General features: G+C 35.4%; 1 long non-coding RNA gene across 3 annotated transcripts in view; it reads right to left on the reverse strand.

Annotated features, from left to right (window-relative positions):
* The window catches only part of LOC105378066 (uncharacterized), a 122,515-nt gene that overhangs the window by 18,843 nt on the left and 81,824 nt on the right, over positions 1 to 21,848 (reverse strand). For all 3 annotated transcript variants that reach the window (NR_187985.1, NR_187983.1, NR_187984.1), the window contains exon 5: positions 693 to 768. This is a non-coding gene — a long non-coding RNA (uncharacterized LOC105378066). The remainder of the gene's footprint in view (positions 1 to 692; positions 769 to 21,848) is intronic.

Genomic DNA, 21,848 nt, shown 5'->3' on the forward strand with positions numbered 1-21,848 from the left:
TATTGTCTTAATCCTTTAAGGTTTACTGCAGAATAGCACAACAGAGATATGTTTTTTTCTATGTTTAATAGACCATTTTAAAACAAATTTTAAATATGACTCAATGCTTGTGTTAGGTTAGATTTAAAACAAAGTCTAGATTTCAAGCTGTAGTTGTAACTATACTATTTTACCTAGTGAATTATTCCATGCTCTTTGTTTCACTTGTGAGAATTGTTTGAAGTGTTGCTTTGAATGTATATATGTTTCCTCATCTATACTAACACACTATATAAAGTGGTTCCTTATGAGAATGGTTTGCAGTGCTGCTTTGAATGTATGTCGTGTACACTCTTCTATACTAACACACTATAAAGTAGTTCCTTGGGACATACATCTCCATTCACTTCTCATGAAGCGTTGTTGAAGCAAAATTCAAAGGTGGTAAACTGGCTATTACAGACAACTGCATTCATAAAAATTTGAAATAATTGGAGGAAAACAACCTTTTCAATAAACCTAACCCTTTTCTCCTCTGGTTTCTGTTTTCTCTTCACTTTTCAATAAGCCCTTCTTACCAAGAGCTGCTCTTGGAAATGAAACTTCCCAAACTTCTACACATTGAGTTGTTTTAATCTTTACCTCAAAGACCACCTTGGCCACATGTCCTTTCCTTAATCATTACTACTTCTTGAGTCTTATATCAAACTCACCATCAGCTGGTGAACAAAGGAGGAAAATTTTGGTAGATCCTCAGGGTTGAGTCAGGAACTCATTATTAGCATTATGCTGAAAAAAAAAAGGTGACATTAACATAGCCTTATTTATATTGATAAAGCCTTGAATAAGAGTAAAATTGAGATACTTTTGCTGTGATAGCCAACTGAGCCTAGGGGCTAATGGAAAAAAAAGGTGAAGCTAGAGGAATGATGATAATTGTTTTCCTTGACAGCTTTGTATTAAGACATTTTCCTATAGGAGATAGTGTCTCTATCTGCCACTAGCACTGCCTACTTGATTGCTCTCCCTCTGCTCTCTGATTCCAAAGGGATTACAGTCATCGACAATATCACTTATGTTGCCTATTCCAGTGTCTATGTGGATTAAGATATCAGTGCAGATAATGCCTATAGTTCTTTTTTTATCTCACCTAAGTAGCCGGTCAGCCAAAGTGGCTTGGTCTTGTGATAGCCTGGTCAGTGGATCGACTCTCTTTCTCTCTCCCTTGATGTCTTTATTAGATGTGGCCAATCAGAGGCTTTTAATAATATCCCAAGAATTATATGTGGGTTTTAGTGGGAAGTAAAGACTCCACTTAAGCTTCTGGTTCAGAGTGCATATGAAAATTATAGTTCCAGATATTATTCCAGCTAATGATATCTTTGTGTTCTGATTTCGACTTATATTGCTTGAATAATACATTCTTCAGGAAACCCATTGGAATGACTGTTGATAAGAGAATTGGGCATTCCTCTGTTTATGCTCTTTCAGATAATGAAAATAATTAACCTTATATTTCTAAGACTTTATACAAGTTTTTAAGTATGAAAATGTCTGGAATTATATCAAAAACCTTTGGTTAATGTATGTCAAATTTTATGTTTCTGTTTAAATATATGTGTGGTTGGTGATTGTGTTATTCCTTGAGGCCAGAAATGTTCATCAGTGTCTTTGTAGGAAGTAAAAGCAACCCTGCCATATGCATATATTTAGTTTCAATAGGAGAAGGAAATAATGTCTCAGTAGAATAAAATTATATTCCATGTCTTTCAGATAACCTGTAAGGCTAATTATGAAAAGAGAGCCTAGTTATGCAAGCCACTAAATGCACTTTCAAAATAGCAGAAAAGTTATTACTTATTTAAATATTGTGATTAATGTATAAATTAAATATAAACAAAGGGAATGTTTATTACCAGTAGTAGGGCAGTAGAGTACAGATTCAATAAGTAATGATTGAAAGTACAGATTCTGAAGCTAGATTGCCTGTGTTCTCATTCCAGAGTTTTCACGTATTAGATGACTAACCCTGGGCACCTTTTTAAATTTATTTTTATTTTCACTTATTTGTCCTTCAATTCTGTCACTTGTACAATGGGGATAATAAAACTACCTATATTACAATGTTGTTTTTAGGATTCAATGATTTAACATATCAAAGTTCTTAGAACAATACCAGGGTCATATTAACTTTGTTAAATTAAATTTGGCCTGAGACTGCCTCTGTACTTTTGAGTTTCCACTTAATAAACTGCATCCTAACCTAGCATGCAAACAAACCAAAACCTGGATAAGGAGTATATTTTTTGTTAGAGATAGCCAGATCTCAGCCAATCACAAGCAGCTGAGCTTCAGCCAATTATAGGCAACCAGCTGATCAGATGATGTCCAAATAAGGCAAATGCCTCACTGTAACCAGTCAAGCTATTCTGTACTTTACTTCTGTGTTCTGTCTATAAATATTCTCCATGTTTCAGAGTGGAGCTCTCTAAACTTCCTTTGGTTCTGAGTGCTGCTCAATTCGTGAATTGTTCTTTGCTCAAGTAAACTCTGTTAAATATATTTTGTCTAAAGTTTTTGTTTTAACAACTTTAAATGAACTTAAGAAAATATCTTCTTGTTATTAATTCCATACCTAAAAGAGACCCTTTTGTTGATGATTACCCTATTTTTACATAAAAATATAATAGAATAAATGAAAATTGAGAATTATAATTCTGGAACTAGACTGAGAAGAAAAAGATGACTCTCATGTGGCTATTGTAAAAAGAAAAAAATCACCGACTGATCACACAGCAAGACTTTTTCAAAAATTAAACTACTTATTTTTTAAAAACTTTGAATTATTTTTAAAATACACAGTCATTTACTGTTCACTATAACTTTTAATAGAAAGTGAGAAAGTGATAGAGCAACGATGAAAATTTATTCTTAATGCCAATGTACAGTTGACTACAGCTTATTCTCCCCTGGGCATTCTAATATATTTTGTGATAAGTATGGTATCATACAATAAGCAGATTCTGTGAAAAGCTATTTTCATCATTTAGCAACATACTTTTCTCATTTTCTGTATTAATAAGCACTGACCCTCAGTGTAATTTGCAGTAGCTACATGCTATTATATCACATGTCTGTTTACTGTATTTCAAATAATAGCAAGTAAAAAATCTTCCTTTTGTTTTTGTTATTAGAAAGAGTTTTTTGAAGAACATACTTAACCTATGCCTTTGCACTCTCATTAGATGATTTCTTTAGGGTACATTTCTAAAAATGGACATGCAGAGTATATCTATTTTAAAGCACTTAATATGAGTTGCCAAATTGTTGTCTATTTAAATTTGCATATTTCCATCAGCAGTTATTTGAGAATGTGTGTCCAATGTGCACCTGTGACAGCTTTGGATATTATTATTCTTTTTTATATTTGCTAAATAAAATGTCATTGTCTCTTTGATGACAGAGTATATTTTAGTTTTGCTGTCTTTAATTTCTTATATTGTAAATTTCTAACATAGTGTGGATTTTTCCCTTAAAATGTTTAAAAATTTCTATGGTTTTTAGGAGGTTTTCCAAGAGAAACAGCATCATCTTTTCATTTGTTGTTTATATTGCAATTTTTTTCATTCCTGTTACTTAAACGTTTTCGTTTTTAAGTACATTTTAAATCTTCCAGTTAATCTATTACTTGTACTTTAAAATTTTAGGTTTCATTCTCAAGTTAAAATATTTCTCCACTCAGCAAATGTTGCTACAATTTATTGCATATACCTAGATGTACACGCACACTCACACACACATTCTCTATATTAGATGTTAAACCTACTTACAAATCTGGAAAAAATGCTACTCAGTTTGATAAAACACCTTTTTAATATACTGCTGGATTTTGTGTATTATTGTTATTTCTCTATTATTATTGTGTCAATGGTTTGTGCATCTCTGATTTGTGCAATAATTGAGCATCTTAGATTGGCATAAAATTTACTTATGGTACTTTCAGCACCTTTAGGCTGAAGGTGGGTTGAAAGTCACTGCAGAGTGGCAGAAGTGAACTTTTTGGAGTGATGTAGGTGTTCTATATATTGAGGAGATAATCATTGTATGGTGTGTTAATTTGCCAGAAGTGATTGTCCTGTACATTTTAAATTGGTACATTTTACTATATATAATTCTTCAATATAATTAGTTTTAAAAAATCCAAATAGAAAACATACCACTGTTTGTGACAGTAGGTAAGCAATACTGAAAATTCAGAAATCTTTAAATGATTATCTAGTTTTGGCATCAATGTAATACTGATCTTTTATAATGAGTTGGGGAATTTTTCCAATTTTATCACATTTTAAATGCTGATTAGAGGAATTCAGATATTCAAAAGTTGATACTGAAAGGACAATTGATAACGTGATACCCTGTTTATTGAAATTATTTACATAGTAGCAAAATTATCCTTTCTTTGGAATAAGAAGAAAAGAAAAATGAATGAGATAGAAAAGAATATTTTGTGTACAAAACTAAGAATATTTCAATACAGTGGTTTCTGCCTGACTTCCTCTGTGCAGGAGCAATATTACTGCAGAGTCCTGCAGGTATGCTGAGATTGTTGTATTAGATTAAATACTTGAAATCGGTCCACTGGACATTCAGAAAGAGAGTTTTTAGGGATAGAAAAGAGGCTGATTGCGTACTGTTGAGGCCCAGTTGACATGGGACACTTTGGGCCTCTTCTTTTATAATAAGACTTTAAAGTGCTTTTCCTTCCCTGCACTTTATACCTGGATAGATTGAGATAATCTTGGCTATTAAAAGTGGTAATATTGGCTGGGCAAGGTGACTCATGCCTGTAATCACAGTACTTTGGCAGGCTGAGGCAGGCGGATCTCTTGAGGTCAGGAATTTGAGGCCAGCCTGGCCAACATGGTGAAACCTGTCTGTACTAAAAATATGAAAATTAATTGGTCATGGTGGTGCATGCGTGTAATCTCAGCTACTTCGGAGGCTGAGGTGGGAGAATCACTCGAACCGGAAGGCAGAGGTTTCAGTTAGCCAAGACTGCACCACTGCACTCCAGCCTGGGTGACAGAATGAGACTCCATCTCAAAAAATAAAAATAAAAAAGTGATATTACTTTGTCATCATTCAATCATCATGGCTTCTTAAGTGTTTACTGTGTGCCATTTACAGCTCTAATACACTTTGCATGTATTAAATAGTTTGAGCCTTACAAACCACTCTGGTTTAGTTGGGAGTTCAATATTATTACTAATTTTGTCTCTGTATACTCTGGGATAAAATATAGTGCATATTTCTTATGAGATTTATATTAGTATTAGACAAGTTTTATAGTAATATGCAATATAATTACTAGACTTTAGGTTACGTTTACTGATTTCACTAGCTATCTCTATCTTTTAATTTCTAATTTTCATTTAATCTTTGAATACGTTATTTCATCAGTTTGAAAAAATATTTAGAGCACTCAAATGGTATTAGGGGTCTAAAAAGTCATCAATGGACTGAACTCAAAAGGCCATTTCACAAGTTTACCTCTCTTGTGAAATGTACAAAGGCTAAGAGTTTTTTCTGTTACAAATGGTTAGGTCAATAGGTTATAACATTATCAATAGTGAAAGCTTTAATACTCATCAATCAACAGGTTATTACATTATCAGATGCTACTAGGATTCTGCAATCATGCTTACATTTAAAATATTTTGAACATTTTCTTAGAACTTTGCTTTAGACAAATGGTATTACAGCTGCAAAAGTCTAAACTACCTTTTGCCTACCCACAGATGCAGATTTTCATGAATGATATAAAAATGCAGAAAATAAAAATTGAAAGATACTACTATTTTGTTAGTGAATAACAGAAAAGAATGTGCTAGTTACATAAAGAGCCTGAAGGTATTTCTAGTGCTGTCAGATGACAAAATTGACAACTGGGAGCTTTGGTAGGACCTTTGTGTTACTGATGGCTTGCCTGCATATTTTGTAGTGACACATTTTTCACTGTTCTACATGGCTGTATAATTAACTTACATTAAATAAATGTATGTTTTTTGCTAGTAACAGTTGACATTGTTTATTTTGTTATCCAGTTACCCTGGATCTTATTATAGCTGCTCAGATGGGAAGAGAAAAATGATCAATGAGTCTAAGTGGAAAAGGAAAGGAGAGAGAAAAAGAATGCAAAAAAGAAAAACTTTGTGGAGTTTTGAAGAACAAAAAGTTGAGAATGCAAATGAATGAATAAATAGCCAAAGAGATGATTAATGTGTTTATGTTGTATGGTACACACTCCAAGAGAAAATGTACTTTGAAAGAAAAAGAAATCTTTCAATGATTACAAAGTTGGTTTAACAAAACACTGTTCTTATTGTCAAAATAAAAACCATACCTTCTCAGCTATGCACACCATTTGGGGTATAATAAATAGGTTCTTGGCAGAAAGAACTATTGATTTATCTTATTTTTCCCATGACTTTCATATTACACAGGGGGAAGCAATCACACAGTGGATTTCTGGTGGGCAAGTTCAATCATCAAGTGTTCTCAAACCTCCACCTTGCAAATAAAATGATAGCATATGAAGAAAAGTAATACATATCAGGAAGGCAGCATGCAGGGATTGAGCCAATGACATTTTGATTGGTTTCATTTCCTTTTAAATAAGTCTATTTTATGTATGGATGTAGTGTGAAATCACTCCCAGGGTTGGCATCAGGAGGGGAGGTTTTCAGAATCAGAATATTATTGCTATTATTAAAATTCAAATGAAAGGAAGAATTGGAAAAATCATCTTCATAATCAGGAAGATTTGTAAATTTTTAAATGTAATATTTTGAATCTGGTCTTAAATATTTTTCAAATAATTATATATTTATGTTTGTTACATCATTCACAGATATTAATAGCACCATTAATTTTATGAATGAAATGTACTTTAGTGTCTAGGAAAGAGCATATGAGAATATTAAGACAATATGTACTATAATATAGACCTGGAATTCCTAGAATTTAGGGAAGAGTTACAAAGTCCTAAAAACCCTAAGACCCGGAGATATGTAAATATTAGGACACAGGGGTAGGTCTAACAGCATAGTCACAGAGCATAGAAAAGTAGGGGAGGTGTTGCTCATATTAACCTGTGTTGAAAGAGATAAAGAGACCTGAAACAACTGTATGTTCAGATGGAAGATGGCCAGATTGAGGAGAGAAGTGGATGTGGAGGAATAGCAACACAACACCACACTGTTGACTGTACCCAGCTACCATAACTGGAATCCCACTATTCCTGGAACAGGTCAAGTGTGGATAGTTTACTGAAGTGAGAAAGGCTGGTGCAAATTGCTGGTGGTACGGAGATCAAGAGTCAATTTTGGATATGTTAGGTTTTTGAGATGTGTATTAGATAGTCAAGTGGAGATGTCAATAGAATAATTAAATATAAAAACCTGACCAAGTGTAGTAGCTCATGCCTATAATCCCAGCACTTTGGGAGTCTGAGGTGGGCAGATTGCTTGACGCCAGGAGTTTGAGACCAGCATGGACAACATAGTGAAACCTATCTCTACAAAAAATACTAAAGTTAGCCAAGCATGGTGTGTGTGTCTGGAGTCCCAGCTACTTGGGAGGCTGGGGTGGGAGGATCGCTTGAGCCTGGGAGGCAGATGTTGCAGTGAGCTGAGATCATACCATTGCACTCCAGCCTGGGGGATGGACGTGAAATCCTGTCTCAAAAAACAAACAAAACAAAACAAAAACCTGGCATTCAGGGAAGATAGAACAGAAATATATGAAGTGGAATATAAGTGGAATTTAATGTCTGGCACTAGCACAGAGTAAGAGATACACACCCACTGATATGGTTTAGCTGTGTCCCCACCCAAATCTCATCTTGAATCATAGCTCCCATAATCCTACATGTTGTGGGAGAGACCTGTTGTGAAATAGTTGAATCATGGGGGCAGGTTTTTCCCATGTTGTCTCATGATAGTGAATAAGTCTCATGAGATCTGATGGTTTTATAAAAGGCAATTCCCCTGCACACACTGTCTTGCCTGCCACCATGTAAGATGTGCCTTTGCTCCTCCTTCCCCTTCTGCCATGATTGTGAGTCCTCCCCAGGTATGTGGGCCTGTGAGTCCATTAAACCTCTTTTTCTTTATAAATTACCCATTCTTTGGTATTTCTTCATAGCAGTATGAAAATAGACTAATACACCCACCTCAAGTGCAGAATTTAAGATGTGGACACCACAACCTCAATAATTACAATAATAATATTTTAATGCAATAATTTAAAAATAAAAATTATTATGAAATCAATAATTTTGAAACAAAAATTAATGTAAAAACTTTTGTTGAAACTATACAAAATTTTAAATTTCTCATTCAGACTAGTTTTGATTACTTAAAGAATGTGTCTAGACAGAGAAAAGAGTAAATTCTGACTACACTCTGGGACATCTAAACGTGTTATTGTAAGGAAGATGAGGATAAAACAATGCTTGGTATTGCCACTGGTTTAATTGTTGCCAACTTGTTGGGAGAAATTGTGTTTCTTGTTATTTGAATTTGCATTTCTTTCATAAGTAATGTGATAGAGCATTGTTTTCTATTAACTGACTATATATTAGTTGTGACAAAGTTTTCACTGACATACTATAAAATTAATTTTTTAATTTATAATCTGTGACCTTTAACACATGACTAGATTCATGTAACCACCACTACAATCAGGATATAGAACAATTCCATCACATTTTGCTACTCTCTGCCAGTGTAATTCTGGCACTTCCACCTCACTGAATGTGGGTAATCACATTTTCTTGCTTCTGGAACCCTCCTGGTAGCTTGAGCAGCAGGTCCTTGCAACAGTATTAAATCCTATATTCTGCAAAAATGTCCCATAGTGATAAACTTTCCTTTACCTAAACTTTTGTTCTGTTCCTTTTGGTCTAGCACACTCAGAATCCAGTCTCACCTATATTTTCCTGGCTCCTAAACATACATGTCGACTGAATCCTGAATTTTCTTCTCCTCAGAGGTCCACTTCTCCCTTAGCTTGTGCAACAAGTAATGTGACATTATTTATTTATTTCAAGAGGGGAGGTGAGGGCATAACCTTGGGGTGGGGGTGCATGGTTTCATTTAGTAGGTGAGGATCTCCATTATCTTCAAGCTATGGGGCAGCACTAAACTTCAACAGGGAGCAGTTGCCCATTTCTGCTGGCACAGAGCATTAAGAGGAATCTTGGACTTCAAGATTTTTGAGTGCATCAACCCATATGCTCCTGTTTGCCAGGGTCCTGTTTTTCAAGCCAGGGCTTTGATCTTGGCATACAGACATGACTTGTTTGGGAGCTTAACCTTTGTTGGAGCTCTTCTACTCTTGAATGCTATACCTTTTTCTAAGCTTCTTCTGCTTGCCTGGTAAAGAAAGTGAAAAAAATTTATAGGCTAAAAGAAGGCCTTCTGACTTTCTCTCTTAGTTTTTAATTGCCTACTAGTTCTCAGTCTTTAGTTATTGTTTTCCCCCTGAAAGTATCACTTTCACTTGTCAACAAGTATCCAATTCCATTGCTTTATGGTTACAATGCACCTGAAATGTGTAATTTGCCAGATACATTGCACCTGCTAATGCAGTTCCTTGACCTGGAATACCAATTCCAGTTCACTATATGTGAAACTTTTAACACATGCGTTGCTGCTTGATGCCAAGTTTCACATGTATTCTATTATATCTACTATCAGTGATGGCTTTTCTAGAAAATAGTGTCACCTAAGCAGGATAGGAGCTGCACTGGGCAGAATATTGTTCAGTTTCTAGGGCCGTCAGCCAAAGAAAATTGCGATGGTGATGGAAAGTATTCATTGCCTTCTGGATGACAAGGGATCCAAACCAAAATTTTATATATGCCACCTACTTTCTTGATTCACTTCTGGAACCAGCTTCTACAAGTTGATTTCTCTGGAAAATATGCAGGAAATATACTAGGAATACCTTTGAGATCATCTCTTGTGGGAGGGAAGGAAGTAAGGAAAGGACAAAGTTTAGTTCCAATGCAGTTCCAATGAAGACCCCAGTTGTTCCCAGCTGTAGTTAGAACAGCCCTCCAGAATTGAGTGAGGGGCAGGGCCTCTGTATCTCAATATCAATCAGTCATATCTAGAATACCCTGGGAAGGCGGTATGCTCTTAGACTTGACAGCTTTCTTCTGCTGAGGCTATGCTCAAAGCAATGTGGGAATTGAGGGCTGTCTGTCTCAGTGCTCCCAGCAGGTGCATCCACATCTTGGTCATTCAGGAAGGAGGATCTGAATGGCACCATACGGTGTCCACAACCATAGCCCTCAGCTTTTTCTGTTCTGCTAAGTCTGTATGCCACTTTTTCTATTCACCCTATTGCTTTACTCTTAGTTTCTAAAGTTTGGTCAATACTTACCTCTTTTACTATTCTTTTTGTTTTTTTGGGGTTTATATCTTAAAACAACAACAACAACTTTTAAGGTGTCATTTTAGAGGGGTGTCAATAGTAAAGAGAACACATGTGTTCAATCTGCTTTATGAACCTGAACTCTGAAGTAGCCTTCTGATAAGGACAGTGTGAAATATACTGTTTCTATTTCTGGCCCATGTGGTCTCAGCTTCCATTTCACTTGTTCCATATCCAGGTACCTGTCCAGAAGGCTTTTCTAGAAAATAGTGTCACCTAAGTAGGATAGGAACTGCACTGGGCAGAATATTGTCCAGTTTCTAGGGCTGTTGGCCAAAGAACATTGCAATGGTGATGGAAAAAATATGGCAAGCTGAGACATGAGGAATGAATCAGACCTTAACACAAACACAATACTCTGGAAGCCTCTTCCTCCTTAACTTGCTGCTCACTTCACACACACACACACAGACACACACTTCTTAGGTGGAGAAATGGATTTCAACTTATACATGCAGAGAAACATTGTTCTGCTGTTTAATTATATCCTGATTGTTCATTTATTCTGGTAGCCTTGGGAAATATTTATTATATCCATATTCAATTAAAAAATGAAAAAGCCAAAAGAATTACCACACTGACATTTAGAAAGCATGTCCTTATCATTGTTAATTTTCCCCGAAAGTAATACAGTTATTATGAGCTACATTATTTAGAGTTTGGCCTGAAGTCTGTTATAAAAAAAATTCCACTTGGATTTAGGTTGCGGTGTATCATTTTGTCAAAAATGTAGGTCTGTTGCTGCCTTCATTTGGATGAGAGCTCTTATCTAGTTTCCAATTTGGTCTAGCCCATTTCTCTATACAGCTGACACACTCACTGGGGATGATTCTCTCAGGATTTTTTGTCAGTCAAAAATCATCTGGAAATGAAGATTCCCTTAACTCTGGGAGGTTGGAGTTCATTACAGAATGAAGCTATTTGATTTTCTTCTGAAGGGAAAGAACAGATAATGATGAACATTGTCACTCAAAAATATACTGTTTCAAAATTTCAATACCTTTCACTCTACAGCAGAGATCATTAAGTTTAGTAGTAAATTGGCTATTTCAACAGTATGAATGTTCTGGTGAATAAACTAAAATCAATAGGAGTTAAGCTATGTGCTTAAATTCACAAAATAATAGAAATAATAGAGATTGGTGTCTTATTGTTTGCTAAGTTAGATTGGATGATTGCTCACATCCTATTCATGGTTCTTGTATCACTACAGCCTTTTCTCAGCATTTTTCCCCCACAGTGTCTATCACATAGACTTGCCCACTTTGAGTTTCCGTTAAGTGTTGAAGTAGGGTGTCTTGTTTTCTTCCTAATATTCCCAATATTATGGCCCATGTAGTCTATCATGATCTTTTGGAATTTTTGTGAACTATTTTTTTCCTTTTCAACTTTTATTTTAGAATCAGGGGGTGTTTGTGCAGGTTTGCTACAAAGGTATATTGCATGATGTTAATATTTGGGACATGACTGAACTCAGAACCCAGATAGCGAGCACAGTACTCAATAAGTAGTTGTTTTCAAACCTTACCTTCCTCCTTCCTCCCTCTTGTATTCCCCAGTGTTTATTGACCCATCTTTATGTCCATGTATCCCCAGTGTTTTGCTCCCACTTATAAGTGAGGACTTGCAGTATTTGGTTTTCTGTTTCTGTGATATTTTGCTTAGGATAATGATTTCCAGCTGTATCCATGTTACTGTAAAGGATATAATTTCATTCTTATTTTGTGTCTACATAGTATTGCATGGTGCATATGTACCAGTTTTGATTTTCCAATCCAGAGTTGATGGGTGCCTAGGTTGATTTCATGTCTTTCCTATTGTGAATAGTGCTGCAATGAACATATGGGTGCATGTGTCTTTTTGGTAGAATGACTTATTTTCCTTTGGGTATACACCCGTAGGGAACTGCTGGGTTGAATGATAGTTCAACTCATTTCTTTGAGAAATCTCCAAACTACACTCCACAGTGGCTGAGCTGGTTTACATTCCCACCAACAGTGTATGTGTTCCCTTTCTCTTCAGTCTTGCTATACCCTGCAAAGCCACAGGGGCAGAGCTGCCCAAGGCTGTGGGAGCCCACCTCTTGCATCAGTGTGACCTGGATGTGAGACATGGAGTCAAAGGAGATCATTTTGGAGCTTTAAGATTTGACTGCCTTGCTGGGTTTCAGACTTGCATGGGGCTTGTAGCCCCTTCTGGCTGTATTTACCCAATGCCTGTATCCCCATGGTGTCTAGGAAGTAACTAACTTGCTTTTGATTTTACAGGCTCATAGGTCAAAGGGACTTGCCTTGTCTCAGATGAGACTTGGGACTATGGACTTTTGAGTTAATGCTGAAATGAATTGAGACTTTGGGGGACGGTTGGGAAGGCATGATTGGTTTTGAAATGTGAAGATATGAGATTTGGGAGGTGCCAGGAGCAGAAAGATATGGTTTGGCTCTGTGTCCCCATCCAAATCTCATCTTGTAGCTCCCAGAATTCCCACGTATTGTGGGAGATGACTGAATTATGGGGATGGGTCTTTCCTGTGCTGTTCTCATGATAGTGAATGGGTCTAATGAGATCTGAGGGTTTTAAAAATGGGAGTTGCCCTGAACAAGCTCTTTTTTTGCCTGCCGCTATCCGTGTAAGACGTGACTTGCTCCTCCTTGCCTTCCATCATGAGTGTGAGGCCTCCCCAGTCATGTGGAACTGTGAGTCCAAATAAATGTCTTTCTTTTGTAAATTGCCCAGTCTTGGGTATGTCTTTATCAGCAGCATGAAAACACTTGCCAACATTTGTTATTTTTTTACTTTTCAACAAAAGTCATTCTGACTGGTGTGAGATGGTATCTCATTGTAGTTCTGATTTGCATTTGTCTGATGATGAACATTTTTTCATACGTGTGTTGGTCACTTATATGTCAACTTTTGAGATGTGTCCATGTTCCTTGCTCACTTTTTCATCGAGTTATTTGTTTTTTGTTTGTTAAGTTCCTTACAGATTCAGGATGTTAGACCTTTGTCAGATCCATAGGGTGCAAATATTTTACAAACAGTAAAAGTTGCCTGTTTACTTTCTTGATAGTTTCTCTTAGTGTGCAGAAATTCTTTAATTAGGTCCCACTTGTCAATTTTTGTTTCAATTGCTTTTGAGGACTTAGCCATAAATTCTTTGCCAAGGTCAATTTCAAGAAGGGCATTTCCCGTTTTTTGTTTTGTTTTGTATTTTTTTTCTAAAATTTTTATGGTTTGAGGTCTTAAGTCTTGAATTCATCTTGAGTTTATTTTTGTACATAGTGATAGGTGGGGAACCAGTTTCCTTCTTCTGCATATGAATAGCTGGTTATCCCAGCACCATTTATTAAATAGGGAGTCTTTTCCCCATTCCTTATTTTTGTGGACCCTGTTAAAGAGCAGATGGTTGTAGGTGTGTAACTTTATTTCTGGGTTCTTTATTCTGTTCCATGGGCCTATGTGTCTGTTTTTGTATCAGTATCATGCTGTTTTGGTTACTGTAGCCTTGTAGTATAGTTTGAAGTCAAGTAATGTGATACCTCTGGCTTTGTTCTTTTTGCTTAGGATTGCTTTGGCCATTTCAACTTTTTTTGGTTCCATATGAATTTTAGAATAGTTACCTAGGGATAGCATTGAATCTGTAAATTGATTTGGGGAGTATGGCCATTTCAATGATATTGATTTTTCCAATTCATAAGCATGGAATGTTTTTCCATTTGTTTGTGCTGTCTCTGATTTATTTCAGCAGTGTTTTGTAGTTCTTGTTGTAGAGATCTTTCACCGTCTTGGTTAGCTGTATTCCTAGGTATTTTACTCATTTTGTGGCTATTGTAAATGAGATTTCATTCTTGACTTAGCTCTCAGTTTGAAAGTTATTGTCATATAGAAATGCTGTTGATTTTTGTACATTGATTTTGTACCCTAAAACTTTACTGAAGTCATTTATCAGCTCTAGCAGCCTTTCGGTGGAATCTTTAGGGTTTTCTAAGTATAGAATCTCATCATCAACAAAGATAAATAGCCTAACTTCCTCTTTTGCTATTTGGATACTTTTTCTTTCTTTCTGTTGCCTGATTATTCTGTCTGGGACTTGAGTATTATGTTGAATAGGAGTGATGAGAGTGAGCATTCTTGTCTTGTTCCAGTTCTCAAGAGGAATGCTTCAAGCTTTTGCCCAGTGACTATGATGTTTGCTGTGTTTGCCATATTATTTTCAATAATACGTATTATTTTGATATATTGAACATGTTTTTAGGTTCATTGACACCCATTCTTTACTCTCAAACCATTCACCAGTAATGAAATACACAGCTTCTAGTTTTTAACACCTATAACACTAGTTCAAGTCCCCATATTATGAGTTCATTGTACTCTGTGCTTTATATAACTTTTGGAACCCTTTTTTAAAATTCAACAGCACTTCTCTCAATTAATAATTATGTTTCATAACACAATTGATTTGATTATTTGATTAATTTTATTCTTCCCATATCTAAACTGCAAATTCCATGAAGGTAGGTTTATATCTGTTTGCAAAACTGCAGTACTTTCTGTACCTAGCATATTTTAGAGTATACAGAAGGTGTGCAGTATACTTCTTTTGTATAAATGAAGGATCCACTTTGCTTTGTTTTCTTTCATATAGGTTTTGGTAACACCACTTATACTTTTGGAATTTAGACTCCAAGATTTTTTATATTCTTCATTGTTTATTATTTCTTCAGCACTTATAACTAATTATTTATAATTATAGCTTTATTTTTTTACTACATTTTACATTCTGTATCCTCAAAATCTTTGAGAATGTGGTTCAATGATTAGAAGAGACAATATTCCCTTAGAAACAGAACATAGATTCAATTAATATTGCCACTTTTTTGTATTGTTTGGGGTCGGAGTAGGCAAGGAAAGTAGGAACAAAATCTCTGTGGTGTTGGAAGCCTGTCATCTTTTTGTATGTATATCAAAACACTAATAAGGACAACAATTTTTTAGTATGACTTCTGTGCCAAGAACTGTGCTAGTTACTTTGCATATTATGTTTTATCTAATTCAAAAATAACCCAGAGTTTGATGCTTTCACTCACATTTTACAAATGACACAATTTGTCTAAGTCCACACATCTAAGAAGTGAGATTCAGATCATGCTCTATATACCATAGTAATTCAACAATTCATTACATACCATGAAGCAATTTTCCAAAGTTATATTTATGTAAAAACTACACAAATCTCTGTGATAAAAATCAGTACAATCAGTAGGATAGTAAGTGACATCTATTTTGCCAGTATATACAAATCAAATGTTTTCCTTTTCTAGGTTTTATTTTATTTCTTGTTGCTGCTATTTCTTCCAGCTCTCTGAGGACTATGGAATATAAGGTTCAATTTTAAAAAAATAAAAAAAAACAAGGTTTACTATGTGAGTTTACTTACACATTTCTTCATGTCTTGGCTTTATAAACCACTTATTGTAAAAGCTTCTTCTCAAGGGAGCATGAGGATTTATGGATTTATTTTTCAGCATTTCTACTAAAAGTGTTTATTGCACAGCTAAATAAGAAAGTGAACTTTTACTTTGGCAGAGGCTTTATTGCCACTCAAAAGAAAGCTTTTAGAGAGGAACTATATTGTATTTGGGTGGATCACAGGTACTTAATATGTTTTGTTAAAGTTTTAAGAGTCTGTTCAGAAAAGAGATGAAAAATATCAAAGACAATAGAAATAAAATTATGAGACTATACCCTTACACTGAAATTCTGGACTCAGTATTTATATGTGTGTGTGTGTGTATATATATACACACACATATATATATACACATATACACATACATATATATGTAATTGAAATTATTAAATCTTTCATTCATTCATTCAACAAGTATTTATTGTCCGCCATGTGGTAGAAACTGTCTCAGGTGATGGACATATGATGGTGACCCACACGGCTCCTGTCTTCATGAAGCATCTGTTCAATTAGGAGAATTTAACAATGAAAATGTGTATACATAAATGCATATATATACACACACATATAGTAACTAAGGCCATGAAAATTAAGTATTTGGTGATAAAGAATTATAGAAATACACCGGGTGCAGCAGCTCACTTCCTAGCTACTTGGGAAGTTAGGTGAGGAGATCACTTGAGCCTAGGAGTTCGATGCCTAGCCTGGGCAATATAGTGAAATTCCATCTCTAAAAAACATTAAAAAAAGGAATTACAGATAGAATCTACTTGATTTAGAGTAGAAAGAGAATGCAGTTTCAGTTAAACCAGATGAAAAATGAAAAACTAATCAGGGGAGGATCTCAAAAAAATCCCGGGTATTATTAAAACAAAATAAAAAACCGGACAGCAGACACAAATGATGTATTGGAGACTGTCACCTTGCAGGAAGGGAGAGTGCGACTAGTATCTTCTGAAAAAGAGGAACAGTGGCACATGTTGGGGTTGTTAAAGTTGATATGGTTCAAGTTCTGAGGTCTAGAATAGCAAAATAAGAATTCCATTTTTATTCAAGTACACTGTGAAGTTACTGAAGTGTTTTAAGCAAAGTAATTACATGATCTGATTTATATTTTACAAAAATTGCTCTTATTGCTAAAATGAAATGGAAAGGAGAGGAAAGCAAATACATAAAGGGCAGAACTTTCCAGTAGAATGTTGATGGATGGTGCCAGTGAAGGAGATAATTGGATGAAATGGAGTCAGAAGGAGCACAGTTCTATGAAAACAATGGACTAGATCCAAAATTACAGAATTCTAGGCAATGCAGCCTGAGTAAGTGGCATTAGCGTGAAGAGATGTTACTAGTGCCTTTTAGAAAACATTAAGTGGGCTATTACTCAAGTTCTCTTTTGTTATTCTAGTGCTAATTACCCCATTAATGGTTGATACAGACAGCCTCCCCTCTCCCACTCTTTCTCTCTCTCTCTCTCTCTCTCTCTCTCTGTTTCTTCTTTTAACACTTTTGGTTCTGCGCCCATGACAATTGACATTTTGAACTAAGAAGAAATAATAATTTCTATCATTCATTTTTGTAACTGTGCTTTATAGATGATTTCAGACAATGACATGGAGACAAATAAAGCTTTAATTAATAACAATTATTCTTCCTATTTCTAATTTTCATATTTAAAGAATAAAGAAAGAAATAAAAAGGCAAAAGCTAACTGTTTGCATTTTAGTTATAGTGGAAGATAATGAGATACTAAGGTATTTTAGGTTGGTATTATGGAAATAGGATACATATGCACCTAAGCCTTTCTTGTTCATTTAGTATACTTTAGAATTAAAGGAAATTTGTTGCATTTAGTTGAATTTCATGTACCTTTGAATTTCACTTTGACCTAGGTAGAGATATTTTAAAATAAAATATAAGCAATTAACATATTTTTTTCTAAAATCTGTGCTTGTTTTCATAAATCTCAGTTCTGCTACAGATGCTTAGTTGGTGTTTCTGGAGACTCTTTTCATGTAGAATAGGTTTAGTCTTCACTTTCTGCAATGCTATTGGCATGGCATTGCATGAAATCCAAAAAGAGTGTAGTTATAAACACATTTGGCTTTTCCATCAAAGGGTGATATTTTCCCTTCAAGAGTATGTTTTGCGCTTTTTATCTGGGCCTGATTTAATGGCTATGTGGTAAATATTGTGAGATTACTTCTCCCAGTTAAAAAACAACAACAACAACAAAAACTCAATAGGATATGATACTGTTTTCAATTTTCTGCTTTATAATCCATTTTAAAAACCTGAAAGATAGGAAAGTTATGAAATGTTCATAATTCATTTTGTTGTGTTACTTAGAGAAAGTAGTAACATATCCCAGATCTGAATTCTAATGCAACAGCAGAAGTTTATTGGCCCTGACTGATACAAAGCAATGGCCATCATTTTTGACCTATCGGCCATCATTGCAAAATGATGTTTAAGAATTCCTAATTTGTTATATGTAACTTTTGAGTCATAGTGAATTCATAAAACAGTGTTTTATAAACACTCCTAAATGACTATCTTGCTATAGATGATTACATTGGTAGAATATGAAATGTGATTTTAATCTTTTTGATTCCCAGTTAAAAGATCAAATCTGACCTTGTTGGCCAGGCATGGTGGCTCACACCTGTGATCCTAGCACTTTGGGAGGCCAAGGTAGGCAGATCACTTGAGCCCAGGAGTTCAAGACCATCTTGGGTAACATAGTTTAGACCTCGTCTCTACAAAAAATAAAAAAAAATTATCTGGGCGTGGTGGCACACATCTGTAATCACAGCCACTAGGGAGGCTGAGGTAGGAGGATCACTTGAGCTTGGGAGATTGAGGCCACATTGAGCTGTGACCACACCACTGCACTCCAGCGTGAGTGACACAGTGAGACCCTGTCTCAAAACAACAAAACAAAACAAAACAAAACAAAACAAAACAAAACACGTATAACCTTGCCTAGGAATGGAAAGAATAAACATTTTGTACCTTATGGGCTTAGTTTATTATCTATGTTGAGTGGTAAAACTAAGTACTTTAAACTTTTTGCAATCAACCATCCTAACATGAATTAGATGTTATTATCTATTCACTATGTTCTATTTGGCCAGTTGATTTGCATCTGTTAATCTATCATTCCGATTTTTAGGAAACTTTGATTTTTTTCAATTAATGTCGTGTGTCATATATATATATAATAGCCTATACATAACACAAATGTTTACATTAAATAGCAAAGCTAAAAGTGAACTCACCACTTAGATTAAGAATTCCACTAGGGTTTTAAATAGAATTTAGCAAGTTTAATGAAAAACAAAGGGCCAAAAATAATAATAAATTGCCTAAAAAGGAAAATAGACTGAGAGGTATTAGCCATCATAGATAACAATATATTTTGTAAAAGTATAATGATTAAGACAAAGTGGTATGGAAACAATAAAAGACCATGTTATCTTCTACTCTTAGTTTAAAAGTTTAATACATTTAGAATTTTATCAAATGTTTTGTATAATGAAATGATTGTACACATATAAATATACAATTAGTAATAATATGGTGAATTAATACACTTCCAAATGCTGAATCAATTTTGCATTCCTGGAATAATTTGAATTTGATAGTGATTCATTAACTTGAAAACATTGTTGGATTTTATTTGCTAATATTATAGATTTCTTATTATTTTGCATTTGTGTTTGAAATGGTGTTACCATTTCTAGCACCATTAGTCTGGTTGTGGTATAAATATTACATTAACCTTGTGATTGGAAAATCCTTTATCTTTTCTATTCCCTGAAAGATTTGCATGAGATTTTTTTCTCCCCTGAATGTTTGGTAGAAATTACCTATAAAACTCTTGGTACCCACGTTCATATGCTCCAGGATCTCTGGGACCTTGAACATCATTTGGGTTCTTCTTGGTTCCTTGGTGACACTTGTCTGCCACACACTCAGCCTCACAAACGTCCTTCATGGAAAAGTTTATGAAGGCAGGTACGCATCAAAGGGCTGTATCTCCCCCAGAGAACACAGGAGATAGCAAAGACCAGGAAATGTTGCAAGAGGAAACAGATGTCAGTAGAAAAGTGAGGCATTTCTCAGAGGAAAGACAGGATGGCTGCCGTGATTCCACGAGAGAAAGTGCTGTTTTCTAATACAAAGCAATCTCTATCACTCCTCCGGAGAATGTAGCTGTTGCTCCCGGCAAAAAGGCAGAATCCTCATTTGCAATGAGGCCATTCTAGCCCAAATCACTTTCTCTCTAATCCCTTTTTATCTTTTTTGTTTGTTTGTTTCATTTCCTTCATTTCTATCTTTTATGTCTCTTACTATGCTTTCCTGGAATAACTATTCCCACAAGAGCACCTTGTAATTTAGCTTTCATTCGGAGATGTTTTGTCTTTTTCTTTAGTTCTTTCATGAGTTCTGCTAGTTTCCACTGTATATTATCTAACTGTTGAGTTATAGCTCCAAGTGTTTTAGCCATATTTTCTAAGTGCTTTCTTATTTTTGCTTTGTGATGTCTCCTTGTAGATGCTGTGGCTGTGCACCTGTTTAATATATACTATTGGAAGTGTTTGGAAATATGCATAAACCCATAATACCATCACCATAATCAAGATGATAAACATACTCATCACCTCAATTTTCTTGTGTCTATTCGTGTCTTGTGTGCGTGTGCATGTGTGTGTAAGAACACTTTACATGAGATGTACCCTCTTAAACTGTAAAGTGTGCAATGCCATACTGTTAACTAGAGGCACTGTATCGTACAGCAGATCTCTTTTAAATTTAGACTGAAATGTGACATTACAGTCTTCTGTTTGTGATGACATTTTTAGGGTGAGTCTTCTTTGGCTCTTAAGCTTTGCTGTATTTTTTTTCAGTAAAGTGTCTTTGTACAATTGGTATAGTTTTATTTATTTGTTTTTTGTTATCAACGTTTTAGTGAATTGGATTTTCTAGACTAGCTGTTAGCAGAAGGATCTCTGTAAGGCAGGGAGGAGTTAAAGCACTGTACTAGTCTCCTAGGGCTGTCGTAACAAAGTACCGCAAACTTGGTGGCCTCAAACAGCAGAAATGTGTTGTCTCACAGTTCTAGAGGCTAAAAGTCAGAAGTCAAGGTGTCAGCAGTGCCATCTTCTCTCTGAGTGTTCTAGGGGAGGAATTCTTCCCTGCCTCTTCTATTCTGATAGTTGCCATTAATCTGTGGCATTCCTTGGCCAGTGTATGCATCACTCCCATCTCTGCCTCCATCTTCACATGTGGCCCTCTCTACTGCTTGACTCTGTCTCTATGTTCAAAATTCCCTCTTATATGGAGACTAGTCAGATTGGATTTCAGGACCATTCTAATTCAGTATGACTTCATCTTAACTTGATGACATCTGCAAGACTCTTTTTAAAAATAAGGTCAGATTCACATTTCTGGGCAGTTACGACTTCAGAATAGTTAGGCAAGGATTGGGGAGAGTGTGGTACAGTTTAATCCATAGCAAGTTCTTTCCTGGTTCCTCTGCTCAAGGGATACCTCTTCCATTGATAAAGTGATTAACAATTACTTTAATATTGTTGCCTTTTGTGGGCAGATTTCCTCTGATTCTACAGTCTTATGTTGCTTCAGGGGGTGCTTCTACCAATTGTTTTTATCTTTGACTGCTGCACCTTACAGATATTGCCTGTGTATTCCAAGGCAAGTTCTTCTCTGTTAGAACAGATGGTCTTTTATCTGTCACCTTGTCCTCTGTGCACTTTCCATGTTTTGTTTTCCCCAATGTCCTAAGGCTTCTTCCTATCCTCATTGTTTCCAGATCTCAAATGGTATTGAGAGAGGGAGACTTTTTTTTGGTGGGGGTGGGTTGGGGGTCGTTTTT

Source organism: Homo sapiens, chromosome 6 (genome assembly GCF_000001405.40).
Source record: "Homo sapiens chromosome 6, GRCh38.p14 Primary Assembly".
Lineage (NCBI taxonomy): Eukaryota > Metazoa > Chordata > Mammalia > Primates > Hominidae > Homo > Homo sapiens.